The sequence below is a fragment of the Homo sapiens genome, chromosome 6 (assembly GCF_000001405.40).
Source record: "Homo sapiens chromosome 6, GRCh38.p14 Primary Assembly".
In the NCBI taxonomy this organism is placed as follows: Eukaryota; Metazoa; Chordata; class Mammalia; order Primates; family Hominidae; genus Homo; species Homo sapiens.
Window position 1 is genome coordinate 13,257,629 of NC_000006.12, and position 15,354 is coordinate 13,272,982.

General features: G+C 44.9%; 2 protein-coding genes across 20 annotated transcripts in view, besides 3 other annotated features; one reads left to right on the top strand and one right to left on the bottom strand.

Annotated features, from left to right (window-relative positions):
• PHACTR1 (phosphatase and actin regulator 1) overlaps positions 1–15,354 on the top strand; it is a 571,071-nt gene that overhangs the window by 540,862 nt on the left and 14,855 nt on the right. For all 19 annotated transcript variants that reach the window (XM_005248934.4, NM_030948.6, XM_047418373.1 and 16 more), the window contains one exon: positions 15,232–15,287. In XM_005248934.4, the coding sequence (XP_005248991.1) occupies positions 15,232–15,287 (56 nt within the window). The remainder of the gene's footprint in view (positions 1–15,231; positions 15,288–15,354) is intronic.
• Positions 34–534: an enhancer, noted in NCBI's record as "H3K27ac hESC enhancer chr6:13257894-13258394 (GRCh37/hg19 assembly coordinates)". NCBI's record gives its function as "activates a minimal SCP1, AML or CMV promoter by ChIP-STARR-seq in primed H9 embryonic stem cells {active_cell/tissue: H9 hESC(primed)}" and the evidence as "EXISTENCE:reporter gene assay evidence [ECO:0000049][PMID:30033119]".
• Positions 535–1,035: an enhancer, noted in NCBI's record as "H3K27ac hESC enhancer chr6:13258395-13258895 (GRCh37/hg19 assembly coordinates)". NCBI's record gives its function as "activates a minimal SCP1, AML or CMV promoter by ChIP-STARR-seq in primed H9 embryonic stem cells {active_cell/tissue: H9 hESC(primed)}" and the evidence as "EXISTENCE:reporter gene assay evidence [ECO:0000049][PMID:30033119]".
• TBC1D7-LOC100130357 (TBC1D7-LOC100130357 readthrough) overlaps positions 8,908–15,354 on the bottom strand; it is a 62,002-nt gene continuing 55,555 nt past the window's right edge. Inside the window, exon 9 of the mRNA NM_001318809.2 lies at positions 8,908–10,207. The gene's annotated coding sequence lies outside the window, so the exon portion shown is untranslated. The remainder of the gene's footprint in view (positions 10,208–15,354) is intronic.
• Positions 14,852–14,951: an enhancer, noted in NCBI's record as "active region_24021". NCBI's record gives its function as "activates an Ori minimal core promoter by ATAC-STARR-seq in GM12878 lymphoblastoid cells {active_cell/tissue: GM12878}" and the evidence as "EXISTENCE:reporter gene assay evidence [ECO:0000049][PMID:35858748]".

The window sequence follows — 15,354 nt, forward strand, 5'->3', positions numbered from 1 at the left end:
TCCCTTGTAGATGGAGGCTGACACTTTGCGCATGCTATTTCTTTCCTTATTGCTCAGTGACCTCTGTCTTGTCAGTAGAGTCATATGCAGGCTGTCTCCACATCTTCACATCTCTCTAACCTTACCTGCTTGCATGTCCACCCACCTATTGAAGCAGCCTCCTTCAACCTTTTATGACAGCATCTAGAGCTGTTGTTCTCAAACTTTAGCATGCACGTGCATCTCCTGGAGAGAGCTTGTAAAACCAGCACAGATGGCTGTGCCCCACTCTCAGACCTTCTGATTCAGTAGCTCCGGAGCCCAGTGGTTTGCAGGTTAGAGAGCACCCAGGTGATGCTGACGCTGGGGACCACGCTGTGAGAAGCACTGACCTGGGATTCTTCACAATCCTCAGTGCAGGTTTGAATTACCTGCAAAGCTTAAACAAACAAACAAAAAAATACAACAGGCTGGGAGCAGTGGCTCATGCCTGTAATCCTAGCACTTTGGAAGCCCGAGGTGGATGGATCACCTGAGGTCAGGAGTTCGAGACCAGCCTGGCCAACATGATGAAACCCCGTCTCTACTAAAAATACAAAAATTAGCTGGGCATGGTGGCGCGTGCCTGTAATTCCAGCTTCTAGGGGGGAGGCAGGAGGATTGCTTGAACCTGGGAGGCGGAGGTTGTAGTGAGCTGAGATCGCGCCACTGCACTCCAGCCTCGGCGACAGAGAGAGACACCGTCTTAAAAAAAGAAAAAAAAAAAACAGTGCTTAAGCTCTACTTTCATACATTCTGATTTAATTGGTTAAGAATGTGGCCCAGGTTTAAGGTAACACAGGTTATTCTAAGGTGCTACGGGAATGAGAACCACTGACATAGAAACCATGGCAAGCGGCAGAGATCAGGAAAAGAGACAAAATGCTGTAGCAAGAGGACCAGCAATGGGCTTGAAGTTATAAGTTCAGTGTGGTTTTTGTTCCCACTAGTCTCGTGAAGGGTGATGATTGGCAGTGGTGGCCCTGCACCAGTTTTGCCTCAATCTCAGTCTTTTCCTTTGATCAGATCATGTTAAGCTTCTTGAAGACTCTGACAGAGGGTTACTTAAAAAATGCTTTGTGCTCCTAGAAAGAAGGTTCATTTTTTGCCAAAGGTACCTGGTAGAGCTCTTTATTGGAAAGGAGCAGGGAAAAGCAAAGGCTAAATTTTAGTTTTTAAGGTGTGAGGAGAAGCTAATAGCAAAAGATAAAACATGGTCTATATTTGATGGCAGAGCTTTTTAAATCATCTGTGCGTGGTCATTCTTGCTGATGTTGTTTTTATATATAGCTCTAACTGAAAGCCTAGCCCAATTTCTGGCACATAATACACGCAGGGATGGTTGGAGGAGTTAAGCTAAAGGTGACCAAATCTCCTGAGTCACTTTAAAGTGGTGGAGCACTGGACATTTGTCTTTTATTCTGTATTTCCTAGCTTTTTGGCATCACAATGTTTTGGCACTCATTTTGATGGATTCTTCTTGTAAAAATAGCCTTGTTGAAATGACTGTCTTAATTTCTGTTGTAATTAACTACCTTAATTTCTGTTATAACAACTCAGATACTCTTTCAAAGTGGAATCATCCTGACATGGGGTTTATGTCCAATAATCCTAATAATACTGAAAATGTTCACTGTGCAGGCTCTCAACCGTCTCACTGTTTTGTTTTTCAATGGATTTGATGCCTAGTAATACACACAGTCCCATCATTACTCCAAAAGTGATTTCCACTCAACATGACCAGCAATATTACAATACTTTTTTGGGTTATTATCTCAGTGTCTCATCTTAGCCACAGGCCATTGCACTGGGGTCATAGCCTCCAGAGAATAAAGCCAAAAATATTCTTTTAAGCGTAACCTGTTTATCTATTTCAGGTAAGGGATTTTTTTCAAGTTACCAAAAATAGTATTTCATGCTTTGTACTTATTTTTAAAAGGGACTTTCACATCTAATTCTCCTTTGATCCTCCTGACAGTCCTACACAGCAGGCGGGCTAGATGTCATTATGACCATTTGTCATATAGTGAAATTGGGCATGGAGGGGTAAGGAGATGTCATGTGCTCAAGGGACCTTCTGATGAGTGGTGCAGGCAGGCCAGGATGCGGGCCTCAGGGCCCCAGTTCATCTTCCCCCCTCTGTGCTCTCTCCTCTAGCCAGGCTAACTGTTCTTAGCTTAAGGGGAATGACAGAAATTTGAAAATCATTGATGGAAATGCCTGGGAAGAGCTGGGCGTGCGGATCAATAGTATTAAGAGTTGTTCTGCTCAGTTTGCAGAGAGAAAAGGGCATAGTACTGAGGAATAAAAGCAAAACTGCTGTTCAGCCCTCCCAGCAGCCCCTCTTCTGTGGCAGGAATGCCTTCCCATACGCCCAGCATTCTCATTCATCCCATGGGCACAACTCCAGGGGCGAGAGATTATTAATTTGTTTAACATAAAAAATCAAATGAGCCCCTATTATGTGCCAGCTGCTGTACTAAGTACTAAGAACACAGAGATAAATAAGATGTAATTGGTGGTTTTGGAGCATTCATCGTCCAACTGAGAAGATCTTCATGTACGCAGGTATCACCAATGTAATGGATAAGGCCATCGTCAAGATGGGGAACTCCATAGACAGAACTACTACCTCTGCCTGGTAGAATCAGAGGAGGCATCTCAGCTTCCCTAAACTGTGAATGTGCTACTGGGTTGTCCTACTGTGAATAAGGGAGTGAAGGTAAATGAGGCATTGTGGCCAGGCTGTGGTGTGGAGTGAATTCAAGCATTATTCTTAGCGCAATGTCAGGCGGTGGAAGGCTGGTAGCAGAGGAGTAAAACAACCAAGCTATGTCCTCCCCGCCTCCCAACTTCTCCTCTGCCCCTTCTTAGCACTAAAATACTAAGAATTTTGACCAGGACTGGCAGTTAAAGTATTCTCTTTGTTCCATCGCACAGAGATGAAAAAGCTGAGGCTTAGAGAGGAATGCCGTCTCATTCAAGATCTCACACTTGTTAAACAGCAGGCTGACCCAAGCTGGTGACTGGCATGCATCATACTGCCCAAAGCCACTCTGAAGGATAGGGCACCCCTGGGCTTTTATCACACCTGAGATCTGCTGAGTAGCAGGAATTAGGAAATATTAAGAGAGAAATATGAGACTATTAGTCAAAGGTATCATATAATAGAGAAAGGTTTAGTAAAATAAGGGCTCCAAAAGGCCACTGGATTAGACAATTGAATCATCGATGACCTTATCAAGAATTGATTCAGTAGAGCAAGGCTTCTCAACCTAAGCACTGTTGATGCTTTGGACTGAATGATCTTTGTGGTGGGGGCTGTCCCATGCATTGGAAGATGTTTAGCACCCTGGCCTCTATCTACCGGATGCCAACAGCACCCTCTCAATCGCAACAACCAAAAATAACTTCAGACATTACCAAATGCATCCTAGGAGGCAAAATCACCCATGCTGAGAACCAGCACAGTAAAGCTGTGTGAACAGAAGCCAGACTGGAGAGTTACTGAGACCTCGAGCCTGGACCACCCTTTCGAGAGGTCTGGCAGCCAAGAGCAGACAGGTGAGAGGGGTGAGCTGGAGGAAGAGGCTGGCGTAGGAGGACAGCTTTGTTCGTTTGTTGTTGTTTTAAAGAGTTTTATTTCTAATGGAGAATACAGTTGTTTGCCCTAAGGAAAGAACCAAGAAAGAGGTAAAGGTTAAAGGTAAGGAAAAGTCACCAAGTAGCATCCATTTAATTATTTCACAAACATTAAGCATCTCCAGTTACCAGACTCTGTGCTAGGCTCTGCAGATGTCATGGTGAACAAGTGAGAGGTTCCTTGTTCAAAAGATAAAAAAATATTGAAAAGTTTGAAATGGCAACAGAGCATTAAACCCCAAGCAGGAAGCCCTTCTGTGCAGGGGTGGAGTAGGAGGGTGTTCTGTGCACCTGCTCAGATTCTATGGACAGGAAGCTATCCCTGGTTGTCTAAGTGAGGCAGAGGTGGCCCTGGCCTCACAGAGTGTAAGCCTTGTTGTCTGGTGAATAGGACAGGCAATAAAAGAAAGTAAAACAAGCACTGGGGTATGGAACATGCAGGAATATTGTTGCACACTGTAGGACACCTAAACCAAGAGATTTGCAGACAGAGGAAGTGATACTGAAGCTTTAAGCTGTAACGTTAGGGATTATTGTCAGTTAGACAGACAAAGAGGAAGGAAAAGAATGGTAAGGCTATGAGGAAGGGCATGCAAATCTGGAAGGAACCAAGAAGAGATCATTCTGGGTGAAGGACAGAATGGGCAGATTCTTGACAGGCAGGTAGCCAGATCATGAAGAATCTTTCAGAACACTGAGTGTTTTGACTCTGTCCTGTGAGCACTGTAAAGGCATACTTACTTTTCAAGCACAGAGTGGTGTGATCAGATCGGTCCCTTAGAAAGATCATTCTGTATGGGCTGGAGGAGGACCAGAGTGGGATAGGCTGGCAGCAACTGGGAGAGATGCTGATGGACTGCTTCCCCAAGGTGGTGGTAGATGGAATCAGAGATGGTTTGGATATAGGACTCTTGGTGGTTGATTGGCCATCAAGAGTGAAGTTCAGACAGGATGATTCCCAGTTTCATGGCCTGGGCATCTCACTAGGACTCCATACAAGACCACTTGGAGAGGAAGATGTATGGGGGAAGAAGATGAGTTAATTCATTTGGGACCCTTTAAGTCTGATGGCCCATAGGAGTACAAGACAGCAGTTAGAAAGGTGGCCAGGAACTCAAAAATATGACTGGAGGTTTAGATTTTGGAATCATCAGCATATTGATGCTATTGGAAGTCATGAGTGTTGATGAGATCATCCAAGGAGCATGTGTGGCATCTGAACTGGTGGGATCTGGGTTAAATAGTTACTAAATGAGCATCTATTATGCTCTCTATGCTCTCTTAGGAACTGGGGATGTAGTAATAACCAAGGCCAGACAGAAATGCCCCAATCCTCATGGAACTCATAGGTTCTCAGGAGGAAGTTTCCAAAGGATGTAGAGGGGATAGAATTCAGTGCTTCTCCCTTTCCCCTGATCCCACCAAGCCCATCTACACTTCTGGATACCTGTTAGAAAACCCCATCTCCTCCTACTTTTGGAGAGAGGATCTTATTTTCTGTCATTCTCTGTGAGGACTTTTGCATTTCCTCTTTCCATCTGTCTGAAAATGCAGTTACCTTTCTCTGGTGCTGAGTTGCAGAAAACCCAAGTTAATTCTGTTTTTCCTTTGTCCTGAAATGCAGATACAGTTTCAGAGATCCAGACTTTAAAATCAAGGCCCTCAAAACAATAAGCAGTTGTAAATGCTAATGAAAGCTGTGACCTTGGTGTTCTGGAAACGGCAGAAAGCCCATTAGCTCTGTGCAGCACAACTAATCTCTGTCAGCCTCAACAAGTCAGACCAACAAAACCTACAAGGGTTTTGTCACTTCTCTAGGGAGATGCTGTAATGTGCAAAGACAATGCTGCCTGCTCTGCATACATTTAAAGCATCTTGCCACTACATTCTCTACCAGTCTTCTTTTTCCAAGGTCAAAACTGAAGTGTCCTTTATTTTGGGCTTTTAGTGTTTTTTTTTTTTTTTTTTTTTTTCAGTCTTTCCATGCAAAAAGAAAACTTCAATTTATTTGATTATTTCTTATGGTCACCAGTAGAGACAGCATTGTTCAGACTGAAAAAAAAAAAAAGGCAAGATCCATTCTTAAATTTTTAAAGAAAATAGAAGGCTCACATACAGCACTTGATAGCATGTGGCATTTAAACAGGAACCCAGAGATTTTTTCAGTTCACTGAATCATTTAGCCATAGTCCATGGTAAAGAAAAAACCATTTGAGGCATGGAAACCATTTTGCTGCTCAGACATATTTTATAAACCAGGGTCACATATATAGTAGCAAAGCTACTTAAGATCCCTTGAAAGTACATTAAACATTTAATTTTGGATGATTCATTTTATGTAAAAATTTATCTCCAAAAATCATTGCCTTTGACACCTAGCAAAGTGATCACGTTTAGATATACAGTCAGGAATTTTGTTTAATTTAATGTTAGTTTTAATCAGATACAACTAGTTAAATCTACTGGCAAGGTGGGAGCAAAGGAGATACAGTATATTCAGGAGGCATCTTGACTTTGATTCTTGGAGTTAGCAGCTCCTTGGGATGATTCATACAGGTGACCACGTCGTCGTGCTCTGCTGCTCAGCTTTCTATGTTAACCAGTACTTAAGAGATGCACCAGGTACATCGATCATAAAATGAGCCAAGCAGATGGCTGCTTTGCTTGGTGAAGATGGCAAGATGCCCTGGGTGTCCCCCGAAAATTTTGATGACTAGAATTCCAAAGCTGGAGCTTTATGCTTTGGGTTTGTGAATTTGTCTCTGATCAAAGACAAATCTCCCAGTGAATGGTAAAATTTTAAACTAAAATAAGTCATCTTCAGTGTATCTCAACTTGAAAGAATAAGCAAAAGCTATCAATTGGGAACTCTTCTATAATTCCAATACGGAACATTGCAAATCTACATGCAACCCACTCTGTCCTGCTTCCCTGCTGTCCCAGTAAAGAGCTGTTCTTCTTCCACTCAAAAATAATGCTACCTCCATCCCTTGGATCCCAAGCCCTCCTACCTTCTCAGGACTCATGCACTACCAATTGGGCCTTTCCCTTTTTATATATTCAGCTTCTCCCTCCACCCCCCACCATCTAATCTGGATTATTTCCATTAAACATGCCCCATTTTCATCCATTAAAAAAATAAAATTTGGGCTGGGTGTGGTGGCTCACACCTGTAATCCCAGCACTTTGGGAGGCTGAGGGTGGGTGGATCACCTGAGGTCAGGAGTTCGAGACCAGCCTGGCCAACATGGTGAAACCCCATCTCTACTAAAAATACAAAAATTAGCTGGTGTGGTGGCATGTGCCTGTAATCCCAGCTACTCGGGAGGCTGAGGCAGGAGAATCACTTGAACCTGGGAGGCAGAGGTTGCAGTGAGCCGAGTTTGCACCACTGCACTCCAGCCTGGGCCACAGAGTGAGCCCTCATCTGAGAAAAAAATACGATACAATTTGGCCAGGTGTGGTAGCTTATAACAGTAATCCCAGCACTTTGGGAGGCCAAGGCAGGAGGACAGCTTGAACCCAGGAGTTTGAGACTGGCCTGGGCAACACAGAAAGACCTCGTCTCTACCAAAAATTAAAAATTAGCTAGGTATGGTGGTGCATGCCTATAGTCCCAGCTGCTCAGGAGGCTGAGGTGAGAGGATTACTTGAGTCCGAGAGGTTGAGGCTGCAGTGAGCCAAGGTGGTGCCACTGCACTCCAGCTTGGGTGACCAGAGTGAGGCCCCATCTCTGAAAAAAAAAAAATAATAAAATAAAATAAATAAAATAAAATTCCACCACAGCCTCCTTCACTTCTACTTCTCTCACCCGCTTCAAAGCCAGGCTTCGTGGCTAAGTCCTCCAGCTTCGGTGCATCCATTTTTCCACCCCTGTCCTCAGCCCTCTCCAATCTGGCTTCTCTTCCTGCCACGCCACTGAAGGGGCTCTAGGTGTTGTCAGTAACAGCCTCCATGGTGCTAAACCCAGTGGGCATTTTTTTCAGGCCTCATCTAACCTTACAGCAGCTCTCAGAACTCTTTGTGGGCCATACCTATCATCTTACTGTTAACGAAAAGATTGACATGCAGGTCAAAGGCACTTATTTGGGAAGCAAAAATGGCAGCTGGGGTACACCGGATCAGGGCAGCCCTGAAGAGTGCCCTATAAGGCAGGCTGCAGGAGAGAATTTTTAAAATAGAGGATTGTCATAAAAAGTTATTTTCGGAAGTAGTTCATTGGCCAGGCAGAAATCCTAAATCACAAAGCCGTTGTGATTGGTTAGTTAATGAGAGTACTCTCAGCTGAGGTGTTGAAGGCCAGCAGATGCTGACTTCAGTTGTTTGACCGAGTCTATTGGAACATCCCCTGGGTTTGACCTTCAGCAGGTGTGAGTGCGATCCTCTTGCAACCTTCGACTCCACTTCAGAAAGCCTTAGCATTAGTTACTATATTTTCTTTCCCATTACGTTGCTTCCATGATATGACATTTTAGTCCTCATCCTACCTCCAAGAACTCCCCTCCCCAGAATCCATGGCAGGGTCATCCTCCTTAGTCCATGCATTAAATACTGGAATTCGGCAAAGTTCCATCCTAAGCCCTCGCCTCTTCCCATTCTCTACTCTCTCCATACTCATGGCTTCAAATATTGTCTATATTGCAGACTAGTCTCAGATTTCTATCACTGGCCTAGTCCTCTCCTCTCCACTGAGCTAAATGTATCCTGCTGCCTACATGACAGCTTCATTCATATGTCTCAGGAGCATTCTGATGTAACAGATCCAAATTCAAATTCATGGTTTTCTTCCACTCTTCCTTCACAAACACGCTGGTTCTCTTGCAGTGTGCCTGCCTCAGTGAACAGCATTCCCATCCATCTAGTTGCATGAGTTAGAAAACCTAAGGAGATATCCTGTACACCTGCTTCTTCCTGTCCATTCACATATGCTACCTGACTTCCTAAGAGCTTGCACATCACTGCCACAGCCTCGCCCAAGCCTCCACCATTTCTTACCAGGTGTGCCAAGCCTCCCAAAGCCTCTGCTCGGGTTTCCTCTTGCCTCCCCCAATCCCTTCTCCATATAATAACCAGCATGATCTCTTTCCACTGTAAGTCTGATCATTTCATTCACTCCTCCCCTCTCACACCCTAAAACTTAAACTCTTCAACGGCTTCACATTGCTCCTAGAAAAAGAAGATCTAAGTCCCGGAAGCATCTGTATTAGGCCATTCCCACACTGCTGTGAAGAAATACCTGAGACTGGGTAGTTTATAACGAAAAGAGGTTTAATTGGCTCACAGTTCTGCAGGCTGCACAGGAAGCATGATGCTGGCATCTGCCTCTGGTGAGGCCTCAGGAAGCTTCCAATCATGGTGGAAAACAGAGGGAAAGCAAGGAGTCTCACATTGGAGGAGCAGGAGCAAGAGGGAAGGGTGCTACACACTTTTAAACAACCAGATCTCGCGAGAATGCACTCAACTCACTAGAACAGCACCAAGTGGTTGGTACTAAACCGTTCATGAAAAACTACCCCCATGATCCAATCATGTCCCACCAGGCTCCACCTCCAACACTGGGGACTACAATTCAACATGTGATTGGCAGGGACACAGATCCAAATCACACCCACGGCATCTGGCCCCTGCCCTCCTTCCCACCAATCTTCTCTCCTTACTCTCTGCCCAGAAGGAGCATCCTTCTTCCATCCCTGAGCTCTGGGCACAGTGTCACTTCCTCCTGGAAGCCTTTCCTGACCTCCTGATTTGGTCAGATCCAGAGATCCCTGCACCAAGTGCCTCACCATGGAAGCCCTTACTCCAGCTACATTTTGCACTCATTTCTGTGACTGTTTGATTAATGGCTACCCCCATCCTCTTCCAGTCTTCTCTGTTCCAGAAGGGCAGGGACTGGTTTTGCTCATCACTGTACTCTGGTACCTAATGTAGAACCTGACACAGCACTGGCACTAATAAGTAACTTGCTAAATGAATGAATGGGTTTACATTTGAATGTAACTGAGTCTGTGGCACCCATTTCTAAAACAGGTCTTGATAGGAATGAGATAGAGCAAGAGTGATAACATAATTCTAGGAACTCGAGAGGGGAGGACTCCAGGGAATAGAGTCAATGCAGAACCACAGACACTTTATCTTCTTCACAGTTTTGCCTTGTGCCCAGTGAGCCCCACTTCCATGTGGCTGCTGAATGGTTTTTTTCTGACTCACCTCTTGCTGGCCAACTGAGATGCTGCAAGAATGTACAGTGCCTTCTACATGGGCAGTGAAAGTCTAAGTCACGCCCAACTTGCTTGTTGTTTTGAGGATATTTTATTACATGCCAGTCCTTGGAAACTGTTGATCCAGTTTTACCTTGCACATTGTAATCACAGATGTGCACCTCTAGGCTGTGAGCCGCTTAAGAATGTGTCTGGCCCTTCATGTGGCCCGTGGTTCATGTTGGGTAGATTAGCAGATGAAAGACTTAGGAAAACAAAAATTGGAATTCTTATCATTTGATCTCAGCCAGCGTCTCAAACTCAGAGGCCCTCGGGGGTCCAGGAATGATCTGAAAAAAAAAAAAAAAAAAAAAAAAAAAAAAAAAAGCAGGACAGATGTGAGCGTGCTCACCTGTATTACATAAGTGAGGCCTGGGGAGAGGGCTAATTTGATCACACACTCTGTCTAAAGGCATTCAGGCTCAAAAAAAGTATAACCAGCTGGGCTCAGTGGCTCACACCTGTAATCTCAGCACTCTGGGAGGCCGAGGTGGGTGGATCACCTGAGGTCAGGAGTTTGAGACTAGCCTGGCCAACGTGGTGAAACCGCATGTCTACTAAAAATACAAAAATTAGCTGGGCGTGGTGGCACACACCTGTAATCCCAGCTACTCGGGAAGCTGAGGCAGGAGAATCGCTTGAACCTGGGAGGTGGAGGTTGCAGTGAGCTGAGATTGTGCCACTGCACTCCAGCGTGGGTGACAGGGCAAGACTCTGTCTCAAAAAAGAGAAAAAAGTGTAACCTCTGAGCATGCCAAAGAGAACTGATAGAGTCAAATCCAGTGCACCAGGCATCAGTTTGCAACCTCTGACTAGTAAAGTATCATAGTTATGGCAGACAAAATATTGGCCACCCTTCCACAAGATGTCCACATCCTCATCCCCAGATCTATGAATATGTAACGTCCCAGGGCAAAGGAGACTTTGCAACTGGAATTCAGTTAAAAATCTTAAGATAAAGATTAAATGAACTAACATATGTACAGTGCTTGGAACCATACCCTTACATTATAGGCATTAAATCAGCCTTAGCTTATTAAACTAGTATTTATGATTTGCAGAGAAAAGAGCATAGGCCTAGCAGGATCTGATACCTTGTCTGAGGTAAATAGGTTCAGAGCAGAGCCTGGACTAGAACCCAAACCTCCTAGCTCCTGAGCTACTTAGTGCTTTGTCCTTACAATGCCACCATATCATTTTCCTCCCAAATCTCATTTTCAAGGTCAAAACAACTAACTATAGCACAGGCCCTTCTGGCGGGCTCAGCTGCATGTTATAGCTATGATTAGTCTTGATGTTCTCAGTCGCTTTCCAGAGAAATGAAACACAAACAGAGGAACTCATTTGAAATTATGAGTGTTTGACTATAAAGCAGCCTAGTTAATAACAGAATTTTCTCTGATCAGAGTCTAGTCACTCAGTTTTGCCCCCTCCAAATATGACCACCCATAAAAAAAAGGGGAGGCCACCACAGAGCCAGTTGTCATGTTCACTAATGAGATCAATGGGATGGCACCGTCAAAGCTGATGAGGGAACAATGTAGTCTGCAGACACTTCGCATAAGACTCCAAAACACTGGCCTGATCTCCAAATGTAGGCGCCACCCACATTTACAAGGCTTTCTCAAAACATTCTGCCCCCAAAACTTAGCTTGACTTAAAGCCTGGGTATTACCAAACCATTCCATAAAAGTGGCTGCGCATCTCTTATAAAAGCAGCAAGTATTTTTAGGGAAAATAAACTGGCAGGTGAGAAAGAGCTGTTAAGATCTTTCAACGTGGAGTTGGTAAGCTGCATTCCAGACCTCTGACACCGGCTCACTCAGTTGCATAATCATCGCTTTCCTCCTGCAGCGTGAGAATGCTATTTTAGAAAGAATTCAAAGACTACTGCATCCAAATTTAGACCCCCTAATATTGTGAATTTCCAAATACACAGCTGGCCCTTGTCAATGGGGATGAAAAATGTCTTAATGGGATTGCAAAGAGAAAAAACAAACTTTGACTGGGAGCAGTGGCTCATGCCTGTAATCCCAGCACTTTGGGAGGCTGAAGCAGGTGGATCACCTAAGGTCAGGAGTTCAAGACCAGCCTGGCCAACATGGTGAAACCCTGTCTCTACTGAAAATACAAAAAACTAGCACGGGGCATGGTGGCACGCACCTGTAATCCCAGCTACTCAGGAGGCTGAGGCAGGAGAATCGCTTGAACCCGAGAGGCAGAGGTTGCAGTGAGCTGAGATCGCACCACTGCACTCCAGCCTGGGCAAAAAAAGCTAAACTCTGTCTCAAAAAAAGAAAAAAACAAACTTTTTTTCACTCTACTCTCACACTTAACACACTTCTGTGACCCCACACATTTCTGTGTGAGGCAGCTCCCCACACACCAAGCAATTCTCCAGCAGACATGAACTGGACATCCTGTAATTCAATTTGATTCTGACCCTTTCTACTGGGACAGTGTCAGATCACACAGGTTAAGGACTCAGTCCCACAGAACTGCCCCCACTTCAGATGCCAATACCAAGTCATAGGTTGTCACCTATATTATGACCCACTAGCTGTAAACTGGGGTTCTCACAACTCCCTCTTTGTGTTCAAATAATTTGCTAAGACAGCTCACAGAACTCAGGGAAACACTTACTTTACCAGTTTCTTACAGAGGTTACAGATGAACAGCCAGATGAAGAGATGGACAGGGCAAGGTATTGGGGGAGAGAGGCAGAGCTTCTGTGCACTCTCTGGGTGCCACCCTCCCAACAGTGCCCCCCAGCCCCATGGTCAGCAACCTGGAAGCTCATCTAATCTTGTGGTTTAAGAGTTTCCATAGAACTTCACCTCCAGCCCCCCACCCTCCTGCTTCCCAGCTGAAAGCTCCAGGCCTCTAACTATGTGTTCTTTCTGGTGGCCAGCCCCATCCTAAGTCACCTAATTAGCACAAACTCTGGTGTAATCCAAAGGGACTCATTCCAAGTAACAAAATACACTCCTGACACCCCAGAAATTCCAGGGGTTTTAGGTGCTCTGTGATAGGAACTGGGTCAAAGATAAATATGTTTTATATTATACCACAGGGATATTTTGAAAAGGAATAATAAATATGAAAATGTTCTTATACTCTTAAAAACACTTTGGAATGCAATTTCCAACAGTTTCAGGGTGCTATAGGCTTTATAAGCAGGTATATGACCAAAAATCCTTTCTCTGACATTGTATTAGGCCATTCTTGCATTACTATAAAGGAATACCTGAGACTGTGTAATTTATAAATAAAAGAGGTTTAATTGGCTCATGGTTCTGCAGGCTATACAGGCAGCATGGCCCTGGCATTTGCTTGACTTCTAGGGAGGCCTCAGGAAACTTCCAATCATGGAGGAAGGTGAAGGAGAAGAAGGCACATCACATGGCAAAAGCAGGAGCAAGAGAGAGAGAGAGAGTGAGCAGGGAGTTGCCACATGCTTTTTTTTTTTCTTTTTTTTTTTTTGAGACAGTCTCACTTTGTCACCCAGGCTGGAGTGCAGTGGCGCAATGTCGGCTCACTGCAACCTCCACCTCCCAGGTTCAAGCGATTCTCCTGCCTCAGCCTCCCAAGTAGCTAGGATTACAGGCATGTGCCACCATGCCCGGCTAATTTTTGTATTTTTAATAGAGACGGGGTTTCGCCACAAAGTTTTAAATGACCAGATCTTGCAAGAACTCACTGTCAAGAAGCTAGGACCAAGCCATGAGGGCTCCCCATCCAAGCACCTTGCACCAGGCCTCCCCCCGAGCAATGGGGATTACCATTCAACATGAGATTTGGGCAGCGACAAATATCCAAACTATATGAGACATTGAAGCCCATTCCCTATATAGGATGTGTGGTGGTGACACGGGAATGTCACAGAAGCAATTGATTCTGGCCCAGCACAATAAACAAAAACACAAATGACAACAAGCTTTGAATTAAAAATATAGTCCTTTCTGGGAGATTGATTCCAGGACTCCCTTGGATACCAAAATCCAAGGAAGCTCAAGTCCCTTGTATAAAATGGCGTAGTATTTGCAAAAAACTATGTGTATCCTCCCATATCCTTTAAATCATCTCTAAATTACTTATATCTAATACAAGATAAATGCTATATCAATAATTTTAGACTATTGTTTTTTGTTTGTTTTTTTTTTTAATATTTTCCGTCAGCAGTTGGTAGAACCGAAGAATGTGGAACTCATGGACACAGAGGACCAACTGTAGTTAGGTTTGGAGACTTCATTGACTTGATATTTTCACTCTAGGATCTCTCTTTAGATTTCAAGATGTGAACATCTTGCCGACTATAGACACCAGTTTCTAATACCCAAGGAGGGACTGCAACTTCCTCAACTAGGAGAGCATCATTTCTACCCCTTAGATCCCAATAGAGGAGTCTGAGAAGCCTAAAATTTCTTCTACAATGATTCAGTTTCTCACACACCTCATCCCAATGGGTGAAGTGGAATGCCGGATAATTGCAGGTTGTTAAATAATTACCAAAAGCTTCAAAGGTACAGATGTCTCTGTTCCTGCTCAGGCTCCTGAGTCCGTGTCAGTCATTCCTGGGACCTAATGCAGGCATTCTCCCCTCAGATGCCATGCCCGTTCCCTGGCTACTTCTGTCACTACGTGCCATCCACTGCCTGTCCCGCCTCCACCCATTGCGTCATTGCAGGCTCATGCCCTGGCTATGATGTTTCATGTACGGTGGCTAAATTTCACGCCTGGCCACAGAAGTATCATTTCTGTGCCTTTGCCACTCATGTCTTCTAAGCCTCCGAAATAAGAGGAGCAGGACCAGAAGAAGAGCAGCCATTGTTCTCTGCAGACAGACACATTCTCTCACATGTCCCCGGGGCCACAGACCTCTTTATGTTCTAACTGGGTCTGCACAGAAGAGGCAGGAGACAGGCTTTAGCCTCAAGGGAGGGAGAGAGAGGCAAGAGGCCACAGTCCCCAAGTTAGGAGGCCACAAGGAAAGAAAAGGACTTCTGTGAAGAAAAGAGTCCCGTCTGAGTTGCAGTCCACTTGCCTGGGGCCACTGGAGGAGATGGGGCTGGGGAGGGGCCGCTGCAGGGAGGAGGGCGGGGGTCAGCGGCTGTGACATGACGCACGTGCCTCTCCTGGGCTTGAAATTGAGGAACTGAGGAGGCGGTGGTGGCGAGAGTCAGTCTTTCAGAGCACAGGATGGAACAAGAACTCCAGCCACTGACTGTCTCATGTATCTGCAAGGGCCGAGGAAATTAATGACCCAAGGAGGCTATGATATGGTCCAAAAACTTTTCCTGGATTTTTTCCGTAGGCGGCTGAGCCAGAGGCCAACTGCAGAGGAACTGGAACAGAGGAACATTTTGAAACGTAAGTGACTAAGCCCATGGCAATCCCTGATGTTTTGTGGCGGCTTTTGTTATTATTTAATGGTAGG